The sequence below is a fragment of the Homo sapiens genome, chromosome 5 (assembly GCF_000001405.40).
Source record: "Homo sapiens chromosome 5, GRCh38.p14 Primary Assembly".
NCBI classification, from domain to species: Eukaryota; Metazoa; Chordata; class Mammalia; order Primates; family Hominidae; genus Homo; species Homo sapiens.
This window is the reverse complement of record NC_000005.10, coordinates 55,907,501-55,924,377: the sequence shown is the minus strand read 5'-3', so window position 1 is coordinate 55,924,377 and position 16,877 is coordinate 55,907,501. Positions and strand designations below refer to the sequence as shown.

General features: G+C 45.9%; 1 protein-coding gene across 10 annotated transcripts in view, besides 2 other annotated features; it reads right to left on the bottom strand.

The window, feature by feature from the left end:
- Window positions 946–1,546: an enhancer, noted in NCBI's record as "H3K27ac-H3K4me1 hESC enhancer chr5:55218660-55219260 (GRCh37/hg19 assembly coordinates)". NCBI's record gives its function as "activates a minimal SCP1, AML or CMV promoter by ChIP-STARR-seq in primed H9 embryonic stem cells {active_cell/tissue: H9 hESC(primed)}" and the evidence as "EXISTENCE:reporter gene assay evidence [ECO:0000049][PMID:30033119]".
- IL31RA (interleukin 31 receptor A) overlaps window positions 1,528–16,877 on the bottom strand; it is an 83,062-nt gene continuing 67,712 nt past the window's right edge. For 6 of the 10 annotated variants that reach the window (XM_011543142.3, NM_139017.7, NM_001242639.2 and 3 more), the window contains 5 exons: window positions 15,967–16,113; window positions 13,706–13,846; window positions 10,808–10,901; window positions 9,450–9,531; window positions 1,528–7,734 (listed from right to left, as the gene is read on the bottom strand). In XM_011543142.3, the coding sequence (XP_011541444.1) occupies window positions 7,258–7,734; window positions 9,450–9,531; window positions 10,808–10,901; window positions 13,706–13,846; window positions 15,967–16,113 (941 nt within the window). In that variant the 3' untranslated portion in view covers window positions 1,528–7,257. Of the gene's footprint in view, window positions 7,735–9,449; window positions 9,532–10,807; window positions 10,902–13,705; window positions 13,847–14,761; window positions 16,114–16,877 lie in introns of those variants that run through there. The other 4 variants (NM_001242638.2, NM_001242637.2, XM_047416701.1 and 1 more) reach the window with 2 other exon arrangements.
- Window positions 12,361–13,560: an enhancer, noted in NCBI's record as "BRD4-independent group 4 enhancer chr5:55206646-55207845 (GRCh37/hg19 assembly coordinates)". NCBI's record gives its function as "activates an origin of replication core promoter dependent on BRD2, P300/CBP, MED14 and CDK7 cofactors, and independent of BRD4, by STARR-seq in HCT116 cells {active_cell/tissue: HCT116}" and the evidence as "EXISTENCE:reporter gene assay evidence [ECO:0000049][PMID:35650434]".

Sequence of the window (16,877 nt, the reverse complement as noted above, 5' to 3'; positions counted from 1 at the left end):
TTCTCTTAGACCTCACTGGCTCTAAAACCAGTCTCAAGAGCTCTCTGCAGGCACCCAGGGGAGAGGGGAATGGTCTACACGTCTCACCAAAAAGGGGTCCCCTTGGAGTCTCCACTCCTCTTGATCTCCCCAGTCCCTTGGTCATCTTACTCACCCGAGGTAGAAAAGCACAAGGAAAGTCAAAGGGCTGGGCTCCAACCCCCCACTTCCCGCTTAGAGCCTCAGAGAGCCTCCGCCAAGTCATCTAGCCTCTCTGAGCACAGCCTCCTCATCTGCCACTGGCCAGAGCTACCTACTCACAATGCAGTTGTGAGGCTTACTGGGTACTGCGTGCCACACCTTGAGCACAGCACCTGGTGTTAAATGCCAGTCAATGGTTCTTCATAAGCTTAGTGATGAACAGGGGTCTCTGCGGGTGAATATCACCCTGCCCCAGGGCTTCTCCTAGATCCATGGTGGATGTTTGTCATACACTTGGGTACTTACCAGTCTGTTCTGTGTCCGTATTCCTTGTCCCAAAATTGTTTGGTCTCACTTGCTTTCTACACCCCCTTTTTTTTAAAAAAAATCTGGCAGTCCCCCGAACCAGAATGGGTTGAGTGACTCCCTGCTTTCTACACCTCTAGAAAGTTCTAGCGGTGCAATTTTCTCACTACCAAAAACGGAAACAAGTTCAGCTGCCTGGAGAAGCTGCCAGACGGGCTGTAGACCACGTTCCCTTTAAACCACGGCCTGCGTTGTGACAAGAGTCTGTGGGCAGCCAGAGGGAGAGGAAGATCCAGGGGCTCTTTCTTTCTTTAATGGAAGTGACCCAACTGTGTTTAGAAGCTGAAGGGAAGGAATGGCTAAAGAAAAACAAATTGAAAGTACAGGAGAGGCCGTGGTGGGATGGGCGGGAGACAGAGGAAACAGCAGGCACCTGCCACTCTGAGGTTTCCTGGGAGCCTGAACAGGAACAGGTCAGGGAGCTGTAGCTGCGGCGTAGCCTCAGAGCAGAGAGCTGAGACCCAGCGGCAGCTCCAGGAGCGGGAAGGAGCCTGGAATAGGAAGACAATGAGAGCCCGGGCGTGGGTCTCGGATCCTCCACAGGAAATGCAGGCAGGAGTCATTTCCTGCAGCAAAGAGTGTAATGAGCTGCCGAGTCCTGGTCAACTGGAGCCCTTTCCCACAGCCACCAGGCTTCCCTGATCTCTCACGTATTTACATTGTGGAGCCTCAGTTTAGATAGCTGAGTAGGTAAAACTTTAAGACAGGGTCTTGCTCTGTTGCCCAGGCTGGAGAGCAGAGGCACGATCTTGGCTCACTGCAATCTCTGCCTCGCGGGTTCAAGTGATTCTCCTGCCTCAGACTCCCGTGTAGCTGAGATTACAGGTGCGCACCACCACGCCTGGCTAATTTTTGTATTTTTTGTAGAGACAGGGTTTCAGCATGTTGCCCAGGCTGGTCTCAAACTCCTGACCTCAAGTGATCTGCCCACCTCAGCCTCCCAAGGTGCTGGGATTAAAGGTGTGAGTCACTGCACCTGGCTGAGTGGGTAAAACTTTAATATAGAAGTATAGTATTACATGAAAATAGTATAGAAGTATAGTATTACATGAAAATAGTATAGAAGTATAGTATTACATGAAAATAGTATAGAAGTATAGCATTACATGAAAATGGTATTATGGCTTTTTTGTATGAAAGGCCCAAATACAAAAGCATTTTAAAAGCTGTTCCTATTACCATAACCATGTTTTCACACTCTACTTAATAACAGACTTCTCATGCACATGCATTACAGATTGCATCCGTAGGTGGTCCATGTGTGGAAAAGACCACATACCCAGTCTTCAGAGATGGTTCTCTTGGGGCCACAGATTCAGTCTTCCTAGTTGGAAAACTCTGCATGTCCTTTCTAATTTGCATAGACCACAGGACACCTTTCTCGCATTTTAGTCCACACTTATATTGAAGTTGGGCAGGAAGACAGAATTCTAGTCCTAAAAATGAAATGCATAGTACAAGTATCTCACTTCCCTTGAACAGCCACGAGAGCATTGCTGACAGCAGGTTTTGCCCTCTTGTGGAGTTCTGCCCCTCCCCTGCCCCTTGCTTCTCCCCAGCCCTTTTCATCAGCACACGACAAGCGTCTTGGGCAGCACAGCCCTGCATAGAGCTCTGTGTCAAGGGCTATTGTGGCCTGGGGTCTCTTCCAGCATGGATTGGAGCTGTTTGTGCTTCGGAGCAAACTCTCTCCCCACTGACCCCAGTGTCCAAAGGAAATGAGGACTGCTGTTATCCTTAGTCACACTCCACTCTTCAGGAACCGCCCCCCCCCCCCGCCACAACATAAGAGTGCAAGACACTGACCACACTACACATTTTGATTACAAGTAGGCTTGTCAATAATCAACATTTACGTAGAAACAATTAACAAAATACACCAGTGTGAAATTTCTTTTTCAGATGCCCTACAAAAACAAGTATTTTAAATAGTCAACCAAATGGCAAAGTCCACCCGCTGTGCTAAGGGCCTACTGAGTCCCTCTTATTTCTAGCAACTCAGCTGGTCTGTCAATGTCCCCAGGAGCACGGAGGCAGAGAACATTCTGTAATGTCAACACAGGGACATGGCAACAATAAAAAAAGAAAAGTTTGGCTTCACAAGGATTAAAGCAACACAAATAACTATAAAGTTTCATTAACTATTCCCGATAAATTGACAAAATCAAGCTCACAGTGGTAGACAGCTGATTCTCAGTGGAAAAGGACAAAGGATCCGTCAGACATGTCTGGTGATACTGTAAATCAGCATAACCTTTGATGGGACACAGTCACGCAAAATGTGACAACCATAAAATTCTGACCAGCAATTCCACTTTTGAAAACAGCCCCAAAGAGACAGGACAAAGGTAAGAAAAGATAAATGTTTATCGCATTGCACTCTATACTAGGAGGACCTTTAAACGAATCCTATCAACCAAGGGATGCCTTAGCAAACCACACCATGCAGGCCCGCCATGGGGTTTTTCATGGATGTTCAAAATGCTTTGCTCATGCATGAATTTTTATATATGGGAGAACATAATGTATTCAGTATGATTTGCAATTAGCTGAAAAATGTGTACAGGTGCACACAGATCATGTTAGGAGTTAATTAAGCATGACAAATAATTGCTATTTAAAACTCTTGGGATTACTGCTGTAAAGTTGAATTTAAAACAAATTTTAAATTAGAAAAAAGAGGGGACACCTAGAGGGGAGTCTCACCCATGTGAACACTGTGTGTGGATCTAGAAGGCAGAGGGTAGTTCAGGCCACGACTTCTCAGCCTCAGCACTGCTGACATTTTCTGCCAGATAATTCTTTGTTGTGAGGGCTGTTCTGCGCATTATAAGATAATTTCCAGCATTGCCGGCCTCTACCCACTAGATGCCAGTAGCACCTTCCCAGTCGTGACAATCAAAAATATCTCCAGGCATCACCAAATGTCTGAGGTTTGGAGGCTGGGGGTCAAAATCACTCCTGTTGAAAGACCACTGGTGTAAGCCACCAACTCTCGACCTTAGCTATGGGAAGGGGACAGGAATTTAGGAGGGCTGGTGGGGAACCAGTAAGTGTGTGTGCACCCTTCAAAGAGGGCAGTCCTTATTTGGTCAGAAATTCAGAATGACATATCCTGATTTCTTTTTAATTTGCAGCTAATTCAAAGTTGAAACATAGTGGCAGTCTGAGTTTCATGTCTGTGGGTTATGGTAGGCGTCCACAAATTTTTTCTGCAAAGGGTCAGAGAGTAAACGTTTTCTGCTTTGTGGGAAAAACTCTGTGTTGAAACTACTCAACTCTGCCTTTGTAGGGGCAAGCCGCCATAGGGAATAGGTCAACGATGGGCATGGCTGTGTTCCAATTACACTTTGTCAACACTACGTGAATTTCTTGGACTTTTCTTGTCACAAAATGTTATTCTTTTTGTTTTCAACCATTAAATAGGTCATTATAGCTTTTAGTTCATGAACCTACAAAAACAGGGCCTGGATTTGGCCCGTGGGCCACTGCCCTGGGTGGCAGGGTGCCTGCTGCAGCAGGAGTAACTAGGGGCGTGCTGGAAATGGGGACAGAATCAGACTGGGGTGGACAGGCCAGCACAGGCTTTCCTCGCACACAGAGCATCAGCAGAGCAGCCGGAGGCATCCATACTGTGGGCCTCTCCTTTTTCATCTCTCCCCATCTCCTGCCTCCTCCAGACCCTTGCGTGGTGTTTTCACACCGCTGCCTCCCAAGACACCAGAAGGAACTTGTGGTCTTTTTATTTAAGCCACAGACTGGTTTCTCTGTCATTCTTTAAAAATTTTCTGCTCTTACTGTTAAAGAAAGGCCACTAACCTAGCTGTCTGCATGGATCCCAGGGTCTCAGAAAACTGGTTTATCCATTTTTAATAACCTTGCTAAAACACAAGTCTTCCTGTTTGTGTCCTCACAATGTCTCTGACAGTAAACAGGGAAAACACAGATGGCCTTCTCCAGCCACAGAGGCAGTCCCTGGTGCCCAGAGCGGGGACAGTTGGTGACTCGATCCAGGAGAGGAAGTCACCTGCGCCCTGAACTCTGAGGCTCACATCCTGTGAACCTGCTCAGGAGAGCTAAGGTGTGGCCCACCAGTGCCTTTTGGGGACTCATAGAAACAGCTCCTCTCACCTAGAAAGAAACAGAGCCACCATCTTCCCACCCCTCAAAGGTAATAAAACCATGGAAAATGATCAAAGGAGGCTGATGGAAGGGGAGAAAGGAATGAAAAGAAACAAGAAAACAATAGCAAGTGTTAAAAGATGAGAAGCTCTGGCAGTGGGGGAAAACAAAGCACAAGATAGGGGCAAGAGGAGAGAAAGGAAAGAAGAAATGAAACAGGAAGGGCTGGGTGGGGATTTGCAAATTGTCCAGCAAAAGACGCTTCCAGCTTTGATGATGAAGGAGCAGGGGCCAGAGGGCAACATCCTTATCTCTGGAATCCACTCACAGGAGCCATTGGGGATCCATTTTCTCTCCCATCAAATTCTTAGATTTTAGGTTCAGAAGCTTCATCTACATCCAGGTGTGAGACAGACAAGTTTGGGAGAACTTGTTCCAGGCTCTCCTCTCACCCACCTCCCACAGAATTTGAGAAAATTCCCCCAACTACAGGTGGGCAGGAGGGTTGAAAGAACAGCTGTGGGGGTACCCGTGCCCTCCCCCATCCTCGGGCCAAGACAGGAGGCAAGGCTAGAATCTCCCCATATGTTCATGAATCTGAAGGTGGGGTTGCCAAAGGCCCCATCTGGAACTCTGGGGACAGTGGGCTCACAGAAGAGCCCACACCATAGAAGGGGTGGAGAACAGGGAGAGCAGGGAGAGCAGACATCAGGGGCGGCATGAGAATTGGACGCATCTCTTTTGTTTGGTCCCTTCCTACACCTGGACTTGAGTGCAGGACAACGGGACAGGGGCATTGCCCTAGAGTCTTATTCCCCAGTGCCCTGCCTCGGGCCTCCCTCATTCCTTGGTGTACCAGAAGTCACTGTTCCGTAAACCAGGAGTACTGAGTCCTGGGTGGGTGGTGGGGGGGTGGCTGCAGCCGCTGGAGATGTTAGGAGGACAGAGCTTTGAGAGAGCAGCCACACCTTCCTGTGCCCACAGTAACGAGGCAGCAATTGGCTAAGGTAAGTGGTAGGTGACCCAACAGGGACAGGAGGGACCATAGTAAACACACGAGGCCAGAGACAAAAACACGGCCGGACAAATACATGACCCAGAGGATGCCACTGAGTGACCAACTCTGCCCCATGCACGCTGCGCCATTGAACATCCTCGGCACTCAGAGCCAGTCCCAGGCAGGACAGGGGAGGGCAAAACCCCAAATGTGACTGAGTCACAAACCTACGGCAACTCAGAAATCATCATACTGGGCTGAGGTTACTTTGAAGTGTCAGGTCTCAGGCTGGCAATTAATTTTAGTTTTAGGAAAGTAAAGTGATGTTTTGCACACCTGAGTGGGTGGCTTGCGAAGTTCATGCCTGCAATCCTAGTACTGATTCCTCAAACTCTCCTAGAAAAAATACCATCAGCCTTCCTGGCTGGCAAGTGCTGGGTTCACTGCACCTTGGGCCACTCACTCATTGCCTCGCCTGCCCTGATCTCACCAGCCTCCTAGTGGCCTCCCACAAAGGTCAAGGGAGTCACAGCTGACTCTGTCACTATAGTTACAGGAGGAGCCCAGTACTATCTCAGTGCTGAAGCCAGCAATCCACACTTTCGTGAAAGGCTCCACTAACTGTCACAAGCTCTGTGCTCAGCTAGAGAAAAGGAGCAGAAGTCCTCCTGTTGGGGCTGCAAATTTGCTAGGCATTGCATGTTCCCAGGCCCTGCCCTGCTGCTTCCGGGAAGAGGCCTTTTAAGTAAGCATTCCTGGGCTCTGAACCAGTGTGAGGGGCCAGCGTCCCTATATGACAACCACTGCAATGTCAGGTGCCTTTCTGCTCCCAGGCTGGGTGCTGAATAGAAGGGCAGCAGCAGCTGGGAAGTGGCCCCCTGGAGACTGGACAGAGCTGCGCCCGGCAGCATACATTCCCCAGGGCCCTCCCCATTCCTTGATTTTTTAGTAGTCAATGCAGTCTAAATTGGGGGTGAGGATTCTCAGGTGCGGTGTTGCTACAGGCACTTGAGATCTAAGAGGATGTGAGGAGCCTCAGACAACCCCTTAGGAAGGTCCACTCCACCTCCAGCCCCAACTATGGGGAGAGAGGAAGGCTTCAGGGCTACCTTGTAGGGGAAGACCAGAGCCCAGGCTCCCACCAGACCACCCAAGAGCCAACAAAACAACTGTCCTCTGGCAGCAGGGAAAGGCCTTCTGGAACTCTGAGGCTCAGCCCCAGCAAAGGCTGGGACCATGACCCAATTCCTGGGAGGCCAGATATGTCCACCCTGGGGGTCCTTTGGGCTCAGAACCTGGGCCCTTCCTTCAAAGTCAATCTGTCAGGAGGCCTCGGTGAGAGCTTGGTATCTGAACAAACGAAAAGAGACTGCTGTTCCTTTACAAAACTCGGGCTTATCACCATCCCTTCTTCCCAGTACAAGGTCGCATCTTTGCCGACCAAGTTCAACTGGCAGCTCAAGGGGCAGGGGAAACTTTAACCTAGGCAGGATGTGGCAGGGCCAAGCAAGCGCTGCGTGCCGAGTCTTGACATCTTCTCTGGCAAGGGCCATCCACACTGAGGCCCCGAGGGTCTCATGCTATGGTCGCATTTAGACTTCTCCCTTGGTGTGCTCTGGAAGTTTTTCAGACACAAGAAATTCCCTGGCTGTCACTGAATTTTTCAAATATGGATTTGGGGCTCCTTCCTCACACAGATGATCTGGTACTAAACTTTGACCAGAAAAGAGAAGCTGCTCTTTGGCTTCTGGGCGGGTCCCCTCTGGCATCCTCGAACGTAGGTATTGGGATTTTCTGGGCGGAATCTCAGGTGAAACTGGGAGCTCCTCAAAACTTTTCCCCAGGGGACAATCAGGCCTGAAGGGGCAGGTCACATACCCATTCTTTTCCCCTCCTAAATTGTTTTCCTGACCCGTTCTGGCTTCATCTGTGAAAATTTCTTGCAGAACATTCCCAAAGTTCACCACCAACTTGTCAATCACCAACTTGTCACTGGGGGTGGAACATGGTTTTAAGATCCTGTCTTCTGTGTTCACAGAGTCATCAGACTCCTTCAGGTTTAGCTTATCCTGGAAAAGAAAAAGGGACATCCCAAGTGGTCATTTAGGAGTCACATATGACATAGCCAAAAACTCGTTAGGCTTGGGACAGCAAATGCCCATCTCTGGAACAGCCCCCACCTTCCTCCCAGGCCCAGAAGTGGTAGCCAACCCTCTCTGCATGCCCTTCCACAGAGCTTGGAAGGAGTGGCACATTTCCTGAGAAACAGTGCCCTGGATTCAAACAATTTTTAAAATTTATTTATTTATATGTATATAATTTTTTTTTTTTTGAGACAGGGTCTCACTCCCGTTGCCCAGGCTGGAGTACAGTAGCATGATCACCACTCACTGCAGCCTCAACTTCTCAGCCTCAGGTAATTCTTCCCCCTCAGCTTCCTGAGTAGCAGGGGCTACAGATGCACACCACCATACCTGGCTACTTTTTAATTTTTTGTAGAGATGGGGTTTTGTCATGTTACCCAGGCTGGTCTTAAACTCCTGAGCTCAAGCAATCCCCCCTGCCTTGGCCTCCCAAAATGCTGGGATTATAGGCATGAGCCGCTGTACCCAGCCAATTCAAACAATTTCTTCTGCTAGAGTGTGCAAGGCTATTTTCCACACAATCCCATGTTCACAAAACCCCAGTTAAGATGGAAGAACTAAAATTAGAACTCTTAGGGATGGAAAAACCACATCATAGAGACAGACTTGTTCAACCTCACCAGAAAATCAGAAGTGGCCTCATGGCAGGGACAGTGACTTTGTCATTTGTATCCCTAGGGCCTAGCCCAGCACCTGGCATGTAGTGAGTGATTAATAAGTGCCGGCTCTAGAGGTCCAACCTACGGATTATTCAAAAAGCATGTTAGTTATCAGAGAGCACTGCCTATGAATCCATTTACTCTCTAAATGACATTTAATAAGCAGGAAAGTAAATGGGGGTATAAATCAGTCCAGTATACCGGACTGATAAGAGGAGGAAACAGAAAGAAAGCCCATTATAACAAAAGGCCCATGCTCAAAAAAGACTTCTGAGTGGGAACGAGGACTAATATTTAAAATTTGTGCATCAAGGAAAAACTGGAAACAGCCTTTCAGTAACAAGGATTTAAAGGTTATATTTGATTGGGCTTGTTTCTACGTAAGCAAGAAATTAAACCTTAAAATTTCCCTAACGGTTTTCCACTTAAAAATTTATGCAAATGGAGGGTTTCTAGTTAAGGAATACTCACTAGAAAACCCCAATGCCAGTTAAATAAAGCCTGACTCTGACGTCCCCAGCCTGAGAAAAACAACCTGAGGCAGCCTCAGACTGCCATGCCCATCAACATTCCCTGGTGATATTTAGACAGTCTTTAGATTAATGTGCTCTTGGCTGCTTTGTAAATGGCTTCAAATCCTATAGCCAAGGCTCCTCTCTCTCTAATTAGCCCATCAGGTCAGGAAGGGTAGGGCCAGTGTCTTTATTCTGCAGCATCCTTTATGGGACCAGTTCCACCTGGGAACGCACTGGGTCCTCATGAGCCTGGTGAAGCCCTTTCCCCTTGTCAAAGCATGAAGTCAAAGTCATTCCAGGAAGGCTGAGTCCATCTGCCCTGCCTGCCATTCCCTGAGACTTTTCAACTCCAGTTCTCTTGATGTGAACCTTGAAAAAAGCTCAGCCTAGGACTCTTTCCCCATCTCCATTCACCTCGTCTACCTCCCACGGCAATGATTTCCTTAATAAAAACAGGAGAGTTTACCTTGAAATCATCTCCATGCCATGTGGCTATACTACTTTCAGCAGGGTTGGGAACGGTGGGCCAACACAGATGAGTCAATTTGCTAATGAGAGAGAAGATTTTAAGATGGGAATTGAATCCAAGAAGCATTAGCACCATATGGCTGAGTCAAAAGAGTGAGGCTGTGCTAAAGGGAATTGTAAGTTTCCCTCCTAAATAAGGGCATGTCTGCCTAATAGAACCTGGGAAAGTGGAGTTGTTTTGCGGTGTGTGTTGGGGGGTGACATTGCAAGTTCTCTGTGGGATGTGATCAAAGGAGACTCTCCCCATACAAAGCCTATCTTCCCCTCTCTCCCATCCCAGCATCTCCATACCTGGTCCCAATGCTGTAAATTGCACCATCACAGAGTCATTCCTTTGAGGCTTATCCTCTGGGAAAGACAACATTTTATAAACCTTATAAGCTACCCATACTTTCCTGCAATGGTTCTCCAAGTGTGGTCCCAACCAGCAGCATTGGGATCACCTGGGAACTTGTTAGAAATGAACATTTTGGGGCTTTACCCTAGAACCACTGAATCAGAAACTTTGGGGGTGAGGCCTGATTCTGATGCATGCTAAGATCAAAATGATTACTTAAGTGCATAATGTACAAGAATCTATGCTGGTGGCTTGGTTATTACCTACAGTTGGTAACGGAGGTTGATATTAGCTTGACCATTAACTAAGTGCAGCTGCTTGACAGAGATGACTCACAACTGTCTAATTTGGAGAGACAGCTCAACCAGGGGAGGACCATTAGGGTGCCATAAGGCTCACTGCAGAGAGAAAGTCTAAGACCCTGAAGACATGCTTTCTTCCCCACAGTGGCCAGGGCAAGCAGGTTAAAGGCCCCTGCAGCCAGACCCTCAACACTGCACCACAAGCAAGCAATAAGCTTGCACCCACAGACGACTGGCCAGCACTCCAACACCGTGGAGACACTGCTCCCCGCTCTGCCTGAGACAGAGCTCGCAAGAAGGCCTCTTGCTGCAGCCAGGGGCCCTGCTAGACACTGAGAGAAAGGGTCTGCTCTCCAACTCCAGTCTCAGATGGCAAATGGAGCAGACAGAGCCTGTGGGGCAGCTGGCACTCTCCTGGCCTCAAAAAGGCCTAGACCTGGGCATGGAGCTCTGGGAAACGAAAGTGCTCTTGCTTGGTCAGAATTCCGGTGAGCCACTGAGCGTGGCCTTTAATAACCTCAATAAATACGCACCAAGTTAATAAATGAATGAACACCCCTTAATGGTAGAGTGCCCTCTCCTACGAAGCACCTATGATGACTTCAACCCCTTTTTGTCCCTGATTTTTAAGGCACCCACTGTTGTCTGCAGACTCACTTGGGTTTTTTGAGACCATATGCCACTGTCAGGATAATGAGAATAAGAAGGCCTCCACCAATCAGAGAAGTTATGAGGATAATCTCAAAGACACCTTTGAAAAACAAAGAACAAAAGTCAGTAGTGAGTTCCTCACCTTCTTGACAAAAATCAATGATTAACTTTTTCTTCTAGTAGCTTCAGCAACACAATGTCTTATTAGTTTTCTTTCAGTTAAATTCAATTTCTTTCCACTAAAAAAACCCCAGGTCAGGAGTTTGAGACCTGCCTGGCCAACATAGTGAAACCCCGTCTCTACTAAAGATACAAAAAATTAGCCGGGTGTGATAGTGTGCACCTATAATCCCAGCTACTCAGGAGGCTGAGGCAGAAGAATCGCTTGAACCTGGGAGGCGGAGGTTGCAGTGAGCGCTGATCATGCTGTTGCACTCCAGCCTAGGCGACAGGGCTAAACTTCATCTCAAAAACAAAAACAAAAACAAAAACAAAAAACAGAATTTTGTGCCTCCCCATCTAGGTGTCTTCCTGGCAGCATTCATTCCAACAGCATTCATTCAGTGAATACTTATTGAGCACTTACTTTTTAATTTTTATAAATTTTTTTTGAGATGGGTCTTGCTCTGTCGCCCAGGCTGGAGTGCACTGGCATGATCATAGCTCACTGTAGCCTCGAACTCCTGGGCTCAAGCAACCTCCTGCCTCAGCCTCCCAAGTACCTAGGACTTACAGGTGCAAGCCATCATGCCCAGCTAATTTTTAGACTTTTTTTCTTTTTGAGATGGAGTCTCGCTCTGTTGCCCAGGCTGGAGTGCAGTGGTGCATCTTGGCTCACTGCAACCTCCGCCTCCTGGGTTCAAGTGATTCTCCTGCCCCAGCCACCCTGGTAGCTGGGATTACAGGCACGTGCCACCAAGCCCGGCTAATTTTTGTATTTTAGGCAGAGACTGGGTTTCACCATGTTGGCCAGGCTGGTCTTGAACTCCTGGCCTTGAGTGATCCTCCTGCCTTGGCCTCCCAAAGTGCTGGAGTTACAGGCATGAGCCACTGCGTCCAGACAGCAACTTTAGCTAAGGTGTCCAAGGAAGGAGTGAAATTCAAGCTGATCTTAATAGTGAGAAGGATCCAGCCATGCAAAACCATGGAGAAAAGCATTCCAGGCAGAAGAAACAGTGGATGCAAAAGCTTTGAAGCAGCAACAAGGTAAGGAAGATAAATAGAGGCAGAAAGCAGTAGGAAAAATGTGGTCAGTAAGGGACAGATGATGAAAGACCTTGAAAGTTATAGGAAGGAGTTTGGATTTTCTTTAAAATATAATAAAAGTCACTGTGGCTTTTAAGCAGAGAATTCAGGGTTTGAAACTCTGGCTGCTGTGTGGAAAATGGATTATAGAGGATCAAAAATGGAAGCAGGGTGATTTATAATCTATAGACCAGGGTAGGAAACTTCTAGGTTCCAGGGCTGGATCTTGCCTTCATTTAACCCTTGGAGAAAACTCCTTGAGCTGATGAAATTTGTGCCCAGTGTTGCAAAAATTCAATACAGCTTTAAAAAAATTTAAACAGCATATCAAAAAGAGTTCCTAGAGGGCAATGTTAGTCCATCAAAACAGAATATGTTTTCTCTGTAAAAAAAACATGTCATACTCACATTTTCCAGAGTGATAAAGCATTTTATTCTTGAAAAATGTGATGCATAAGAGGCTTTCAAGAATATTTCAAGCAATTTTTAGCTTGCCTCAGTTATTGCAAAAACTTGGCAGTGTTCCTTCATTTTTAATCTAAAAAGCGTTGTTCATTCTTTAAGACAGTTTTAGTACGTACTTAAAAATCAAATCTCTGTCACTCAAGGACTTAGCAAAATTAATATATATCTGTTTCTCCCATTCTCCTTCCTTCTTTCTGCTTCATCCCCCTCCTCATTCCATCTGCCTGCCTCTAAATATCTCCCTTAACCAGCCATCATATGAAGCTACATTTTATTTTACATTATTTGTTGTCTCTAGTAAATTTTTCTTGCTATTTTTTAATGTAAAAGTGGGTAAGTTAAATATATCATATGTCTTTTTGCTCAAAAAAAACCTCCACAAATGATGAGGTTAAGCCCCTTCCTATGGGTCAGTAGTCCTGAGTTAACCAAGGTTTTCCCTTGAAGGCCCTGTTGTACAGTGATATGGTTTGGCTGTGTCCCCACCCAAATCACATCTTGAATTGTAGCTCCCATAATTCCTACATGTTGTGGGAGGGACCCAGGGGGAGATAATTGAATCATGGGGGCAATTTCCCCCATACTGTTCTCATAGTAGTGAATAAATCTCATGAGATCTGATGGTTTTATAGGGGGAAATCACTTTCACTTGGTCCTCATTCTCTCTTGACTGCCACCATGTAAGATGTGCATTTCACCTTCCACCATGACTGTGAGGCTTCCCCAGCCACGTGGAACTGTGAGTCCATTAAACCTCTTTTTCTTTATAAATTACCCAGTCCCGGGTATGTCTTTATCAGCAGCGTGAAAACAGACTAATACATACCGTAACCTATAACATGCAGAAACTGGTGACTATGAACGGGGAGACAGCCTTGAGATGGGAGCTGGTTTGGTGCTAAGACTGAAGTTGGCATTAATTTGACACCTCCTCCTCCAGATGATTTGTGGCTGCCCATGAGGAACGACCAAAATGACCAGCATTTCCAAATTCGGCTCTCAACTTGCCTGCTCTTCCCTCCCATCTCCTCACCTATATGCTTTCCAGGAAGGTTGGTGAACAGAGAGCAGGATGGCAGGGCACTAGGCACTGCCCTTTCATTTGGCTTCCTCCAGCTTTTGGCAGATGTCATTTCTCTCTGATGTAAGGTAAACGTGAGGGAGAGGTACCTAAGGCTTGAAGGAAATACTCACTGAATGACAATGTCTTGAAATTTATGCTGGTCCCGTTGGTTCCCCCAGCACTGGTGCTGGCCATGACCTGAACAATGTAAGAGGTCTTTCGTTTCAGGGACTCCAGGCCGTACTGCAAGATGCTGGAATTGACTGTCTTGGCTAAAGGAAAAATACAAAGGTCAAACACCACAGCCAAACCAGACTGAAAATTGTGTCCCAGTAGCACCAAAATAAGAGCATTGGAACCTGTGCTTCCAAGCTCAGCTGTCTCATATTCTGACCCCTATTCATGTCCTGCTTAAATATCAAGATGGATTAAGGACCTCAATATAAGAACTAGAACTATAAAAATTCTTAGAAGACAGCATAGGATAAATCTTCACAACCTTGAATTTCACAATGGTTTCTTTGATATGACACTAAAAACACAAACATCAAAAGAAAAAAATAGATCAAGCTGGACTTCACTAAAATTCAAAGTTTTTGTGCATCAAAAGATAATATCAAGAATGAAAAGATAATCCAAAGAATGGGAGAAAATATTTACAAATCATATATCTGATAAATAACTTATATCCAGAATATATAAAGAACTCTTATAAATTCAATAACGAAAAGATAACCCAATTTAAACATAAGAAAAAAGATGAAAAATACACTTCTCCAAAGAAGATATACAAACGGGCTGGCCGGGCGCAGTGGCTCATGCCTGTCATCCCAGCACTTTGGGAAGCTGGGGCAGGCAGATCACCCGAGGTCGGGAGTTCGAGACCAGCCTGACCAACATGGAGAAACTCCATCTCTACTAAAAATACAAAATTAGCTGGACGTGGTGGTGCACACCTGCAATCCCAGCTACTTGGGAGGCTGAGGCAGGAGAATCGCTTGAACCTGGGAGGTGGAGGTTGCAGCGAGCCAAGATCGTGCCATTGCACTCCAGTCTGGGCAACAACAGCAAAACTCCGTCTCAAAAAAAAAAAAAAGATATACAAATGGGCAAAAACTACATGAAAAGATGCCCAACATTATTAGTCAGTAGGGAAATGCAAGTCAATGAGATAACCACTACATACCTACCAGGACAGCCATAATAATTTTTTTTAATGAAAAATAACACGTATTGACAAGGATGCAGGGAAATGAAAACTCTCATACATTGCTAGTAAAAAATGTATAGTGTGGAGTAGTCACTGTGGAAAACTGTTTGGTGGCTCCTCAATAAGTTAAACTAGAGTTACAGTATGATCCAGCAATTCAACTTCTAGGTATATGCCCCAAAGAACGAAAAACACAAACTCAAACACATATTTGTACACAGCAGCATATGTTCGTAGCAGACATCTGTTCATAGCAGCCCTATTCACAATAGCCTAAAGGTTGAAACACCCTAAATGTTCATCAACTGATGAATGGATAAACAAAATATGGAATATCCACACAATGGAATATTATTCAGCCATAAAAATGAATAAGTACAAAATCATGCTATAACATGGGTGAACTTTGAAAACATGCTACATGAAAGAAGCCAGACACAAAGACCACATATTTTATGATTCTATGTATATGAAATATCCAAAATAGGCAATCCATAGAGACACAAAGCAGTTTGGTAGTTGCCAGGGGCTGTGGGAGGAGAGGAATGGGGAGTGACTAATGAATGGGTATAGGGCTTCTATTTGGGCAGAAATAGAAGAGTTCTGGAAATAGTGGTGATGGTTGCACAATATTGTGAATGCTTCTAATGCCACTAAATTGTACACTTTCAAATGTTTAAACTGGAAAAATATTTTACGTGTATTTTACCATAAGAAAAAATTATTTAGCCTAAGCAAGAATCCAAGCCTTGCCCAGTATTTAAGATGTCAGGAGATAAGGTGGACTGAAAAACAAAAGCATGATTTGGCAGGGGCAGTAGAAGTCATGGTGACAGGGTCTGTTCCTCCTCACTCTTTAAGCCAGGCACGCCATTCCTGGGAATGATGGTCGGGGAGCTCCCGGGAGGTCAATTCAGGGCCTAACCAGGACAAATTATAACAACTCCTTCCATTTCCTCAGGACTCTCCTCTCAGGTACTGTCACTTCACTCTCATTTAACCCCCAAAACCCCAAAAGGTGGGTGCTCTTGGCCCCATTTTCAGAGAGATTTAAAGAAGCTAAGTGATTCATGCCAGGTTGCAAGTCACAATGAGATGGGGGAGCCATGCCTACAACAGGTCTATCCATAGCATCTATCTGGGGCTTGGGGTTTTTTTCCACTTCGCTATGGGCGTGCTTACAGAATCCTTTTCCACCTTCAGCTTGGTAAAAGATGGTGTAGTTGCAGATGATACCCTTTCTCTCACTCTTGGGAATCTCTTTCCATGTGATCGTGACCGTCTTCACGCCAATGTTCTCCACCTTGGTCTCAGGACCTTCTGATGGAACTGGAAAGGACAGAGGGATAAATGATAATCACTGAACCGCACTCCAGGAGATCGTTCCCCCACAAAGGCCCTGGCCAGTACTCAGACCAAACCATAGTGCTGGAGGCGACGGGTGAGGGTTGAGTAGGGAATTGATGAATCAGCTTGTTTGGGAAAATTGTTTTCTAGAACCATCTCTCTTAAGCAAGAAGAGAAGTGGCAACAAGACCACTTGAAAAAGTCCTTTCTCATAGATGTCTCCAATTTGGTACCCAGCTTTTTCATTCATATCTGTAAAGTGTAGTTATTATCAAATAGTTGAAGAATATGGCTCCATAGGCTACCTTTGAGTGGCAGAAGATGTTTTCCAGTGTTGAATCTGGAAGACATGAACTTCCAAAAAGATAAAAGTAAAGCTTGAGCAATTCACCAGTAAAGCCTTTGCTTATTGCTACATAATTAAAAATAATTTTTTAACATCCCTAGCTTAGGATGAACTCTAGGCTCCCTGATGTGGTCTTAATTCAGTGTTATTGCTGGTAGCAGCTCTATTTGCACTGTTTATTTGTGACTTTGGGCAAGTTATTTCACCTCTCTGAGTTTTAATTTTCCATTTGTGAAATGAGGGGATTGGACTCAATGATCTCTAATGTCTACCCCAGCTTCAGAATTCAGCAAATTCATAACATACAGAGCTCACTACAAGATGAAGCACAAATGAGCCCTAAGATGGCTGGGAATGAGCTACAGGCACTTGCAGCCTTATCGGCATGTGGGACAGGTCA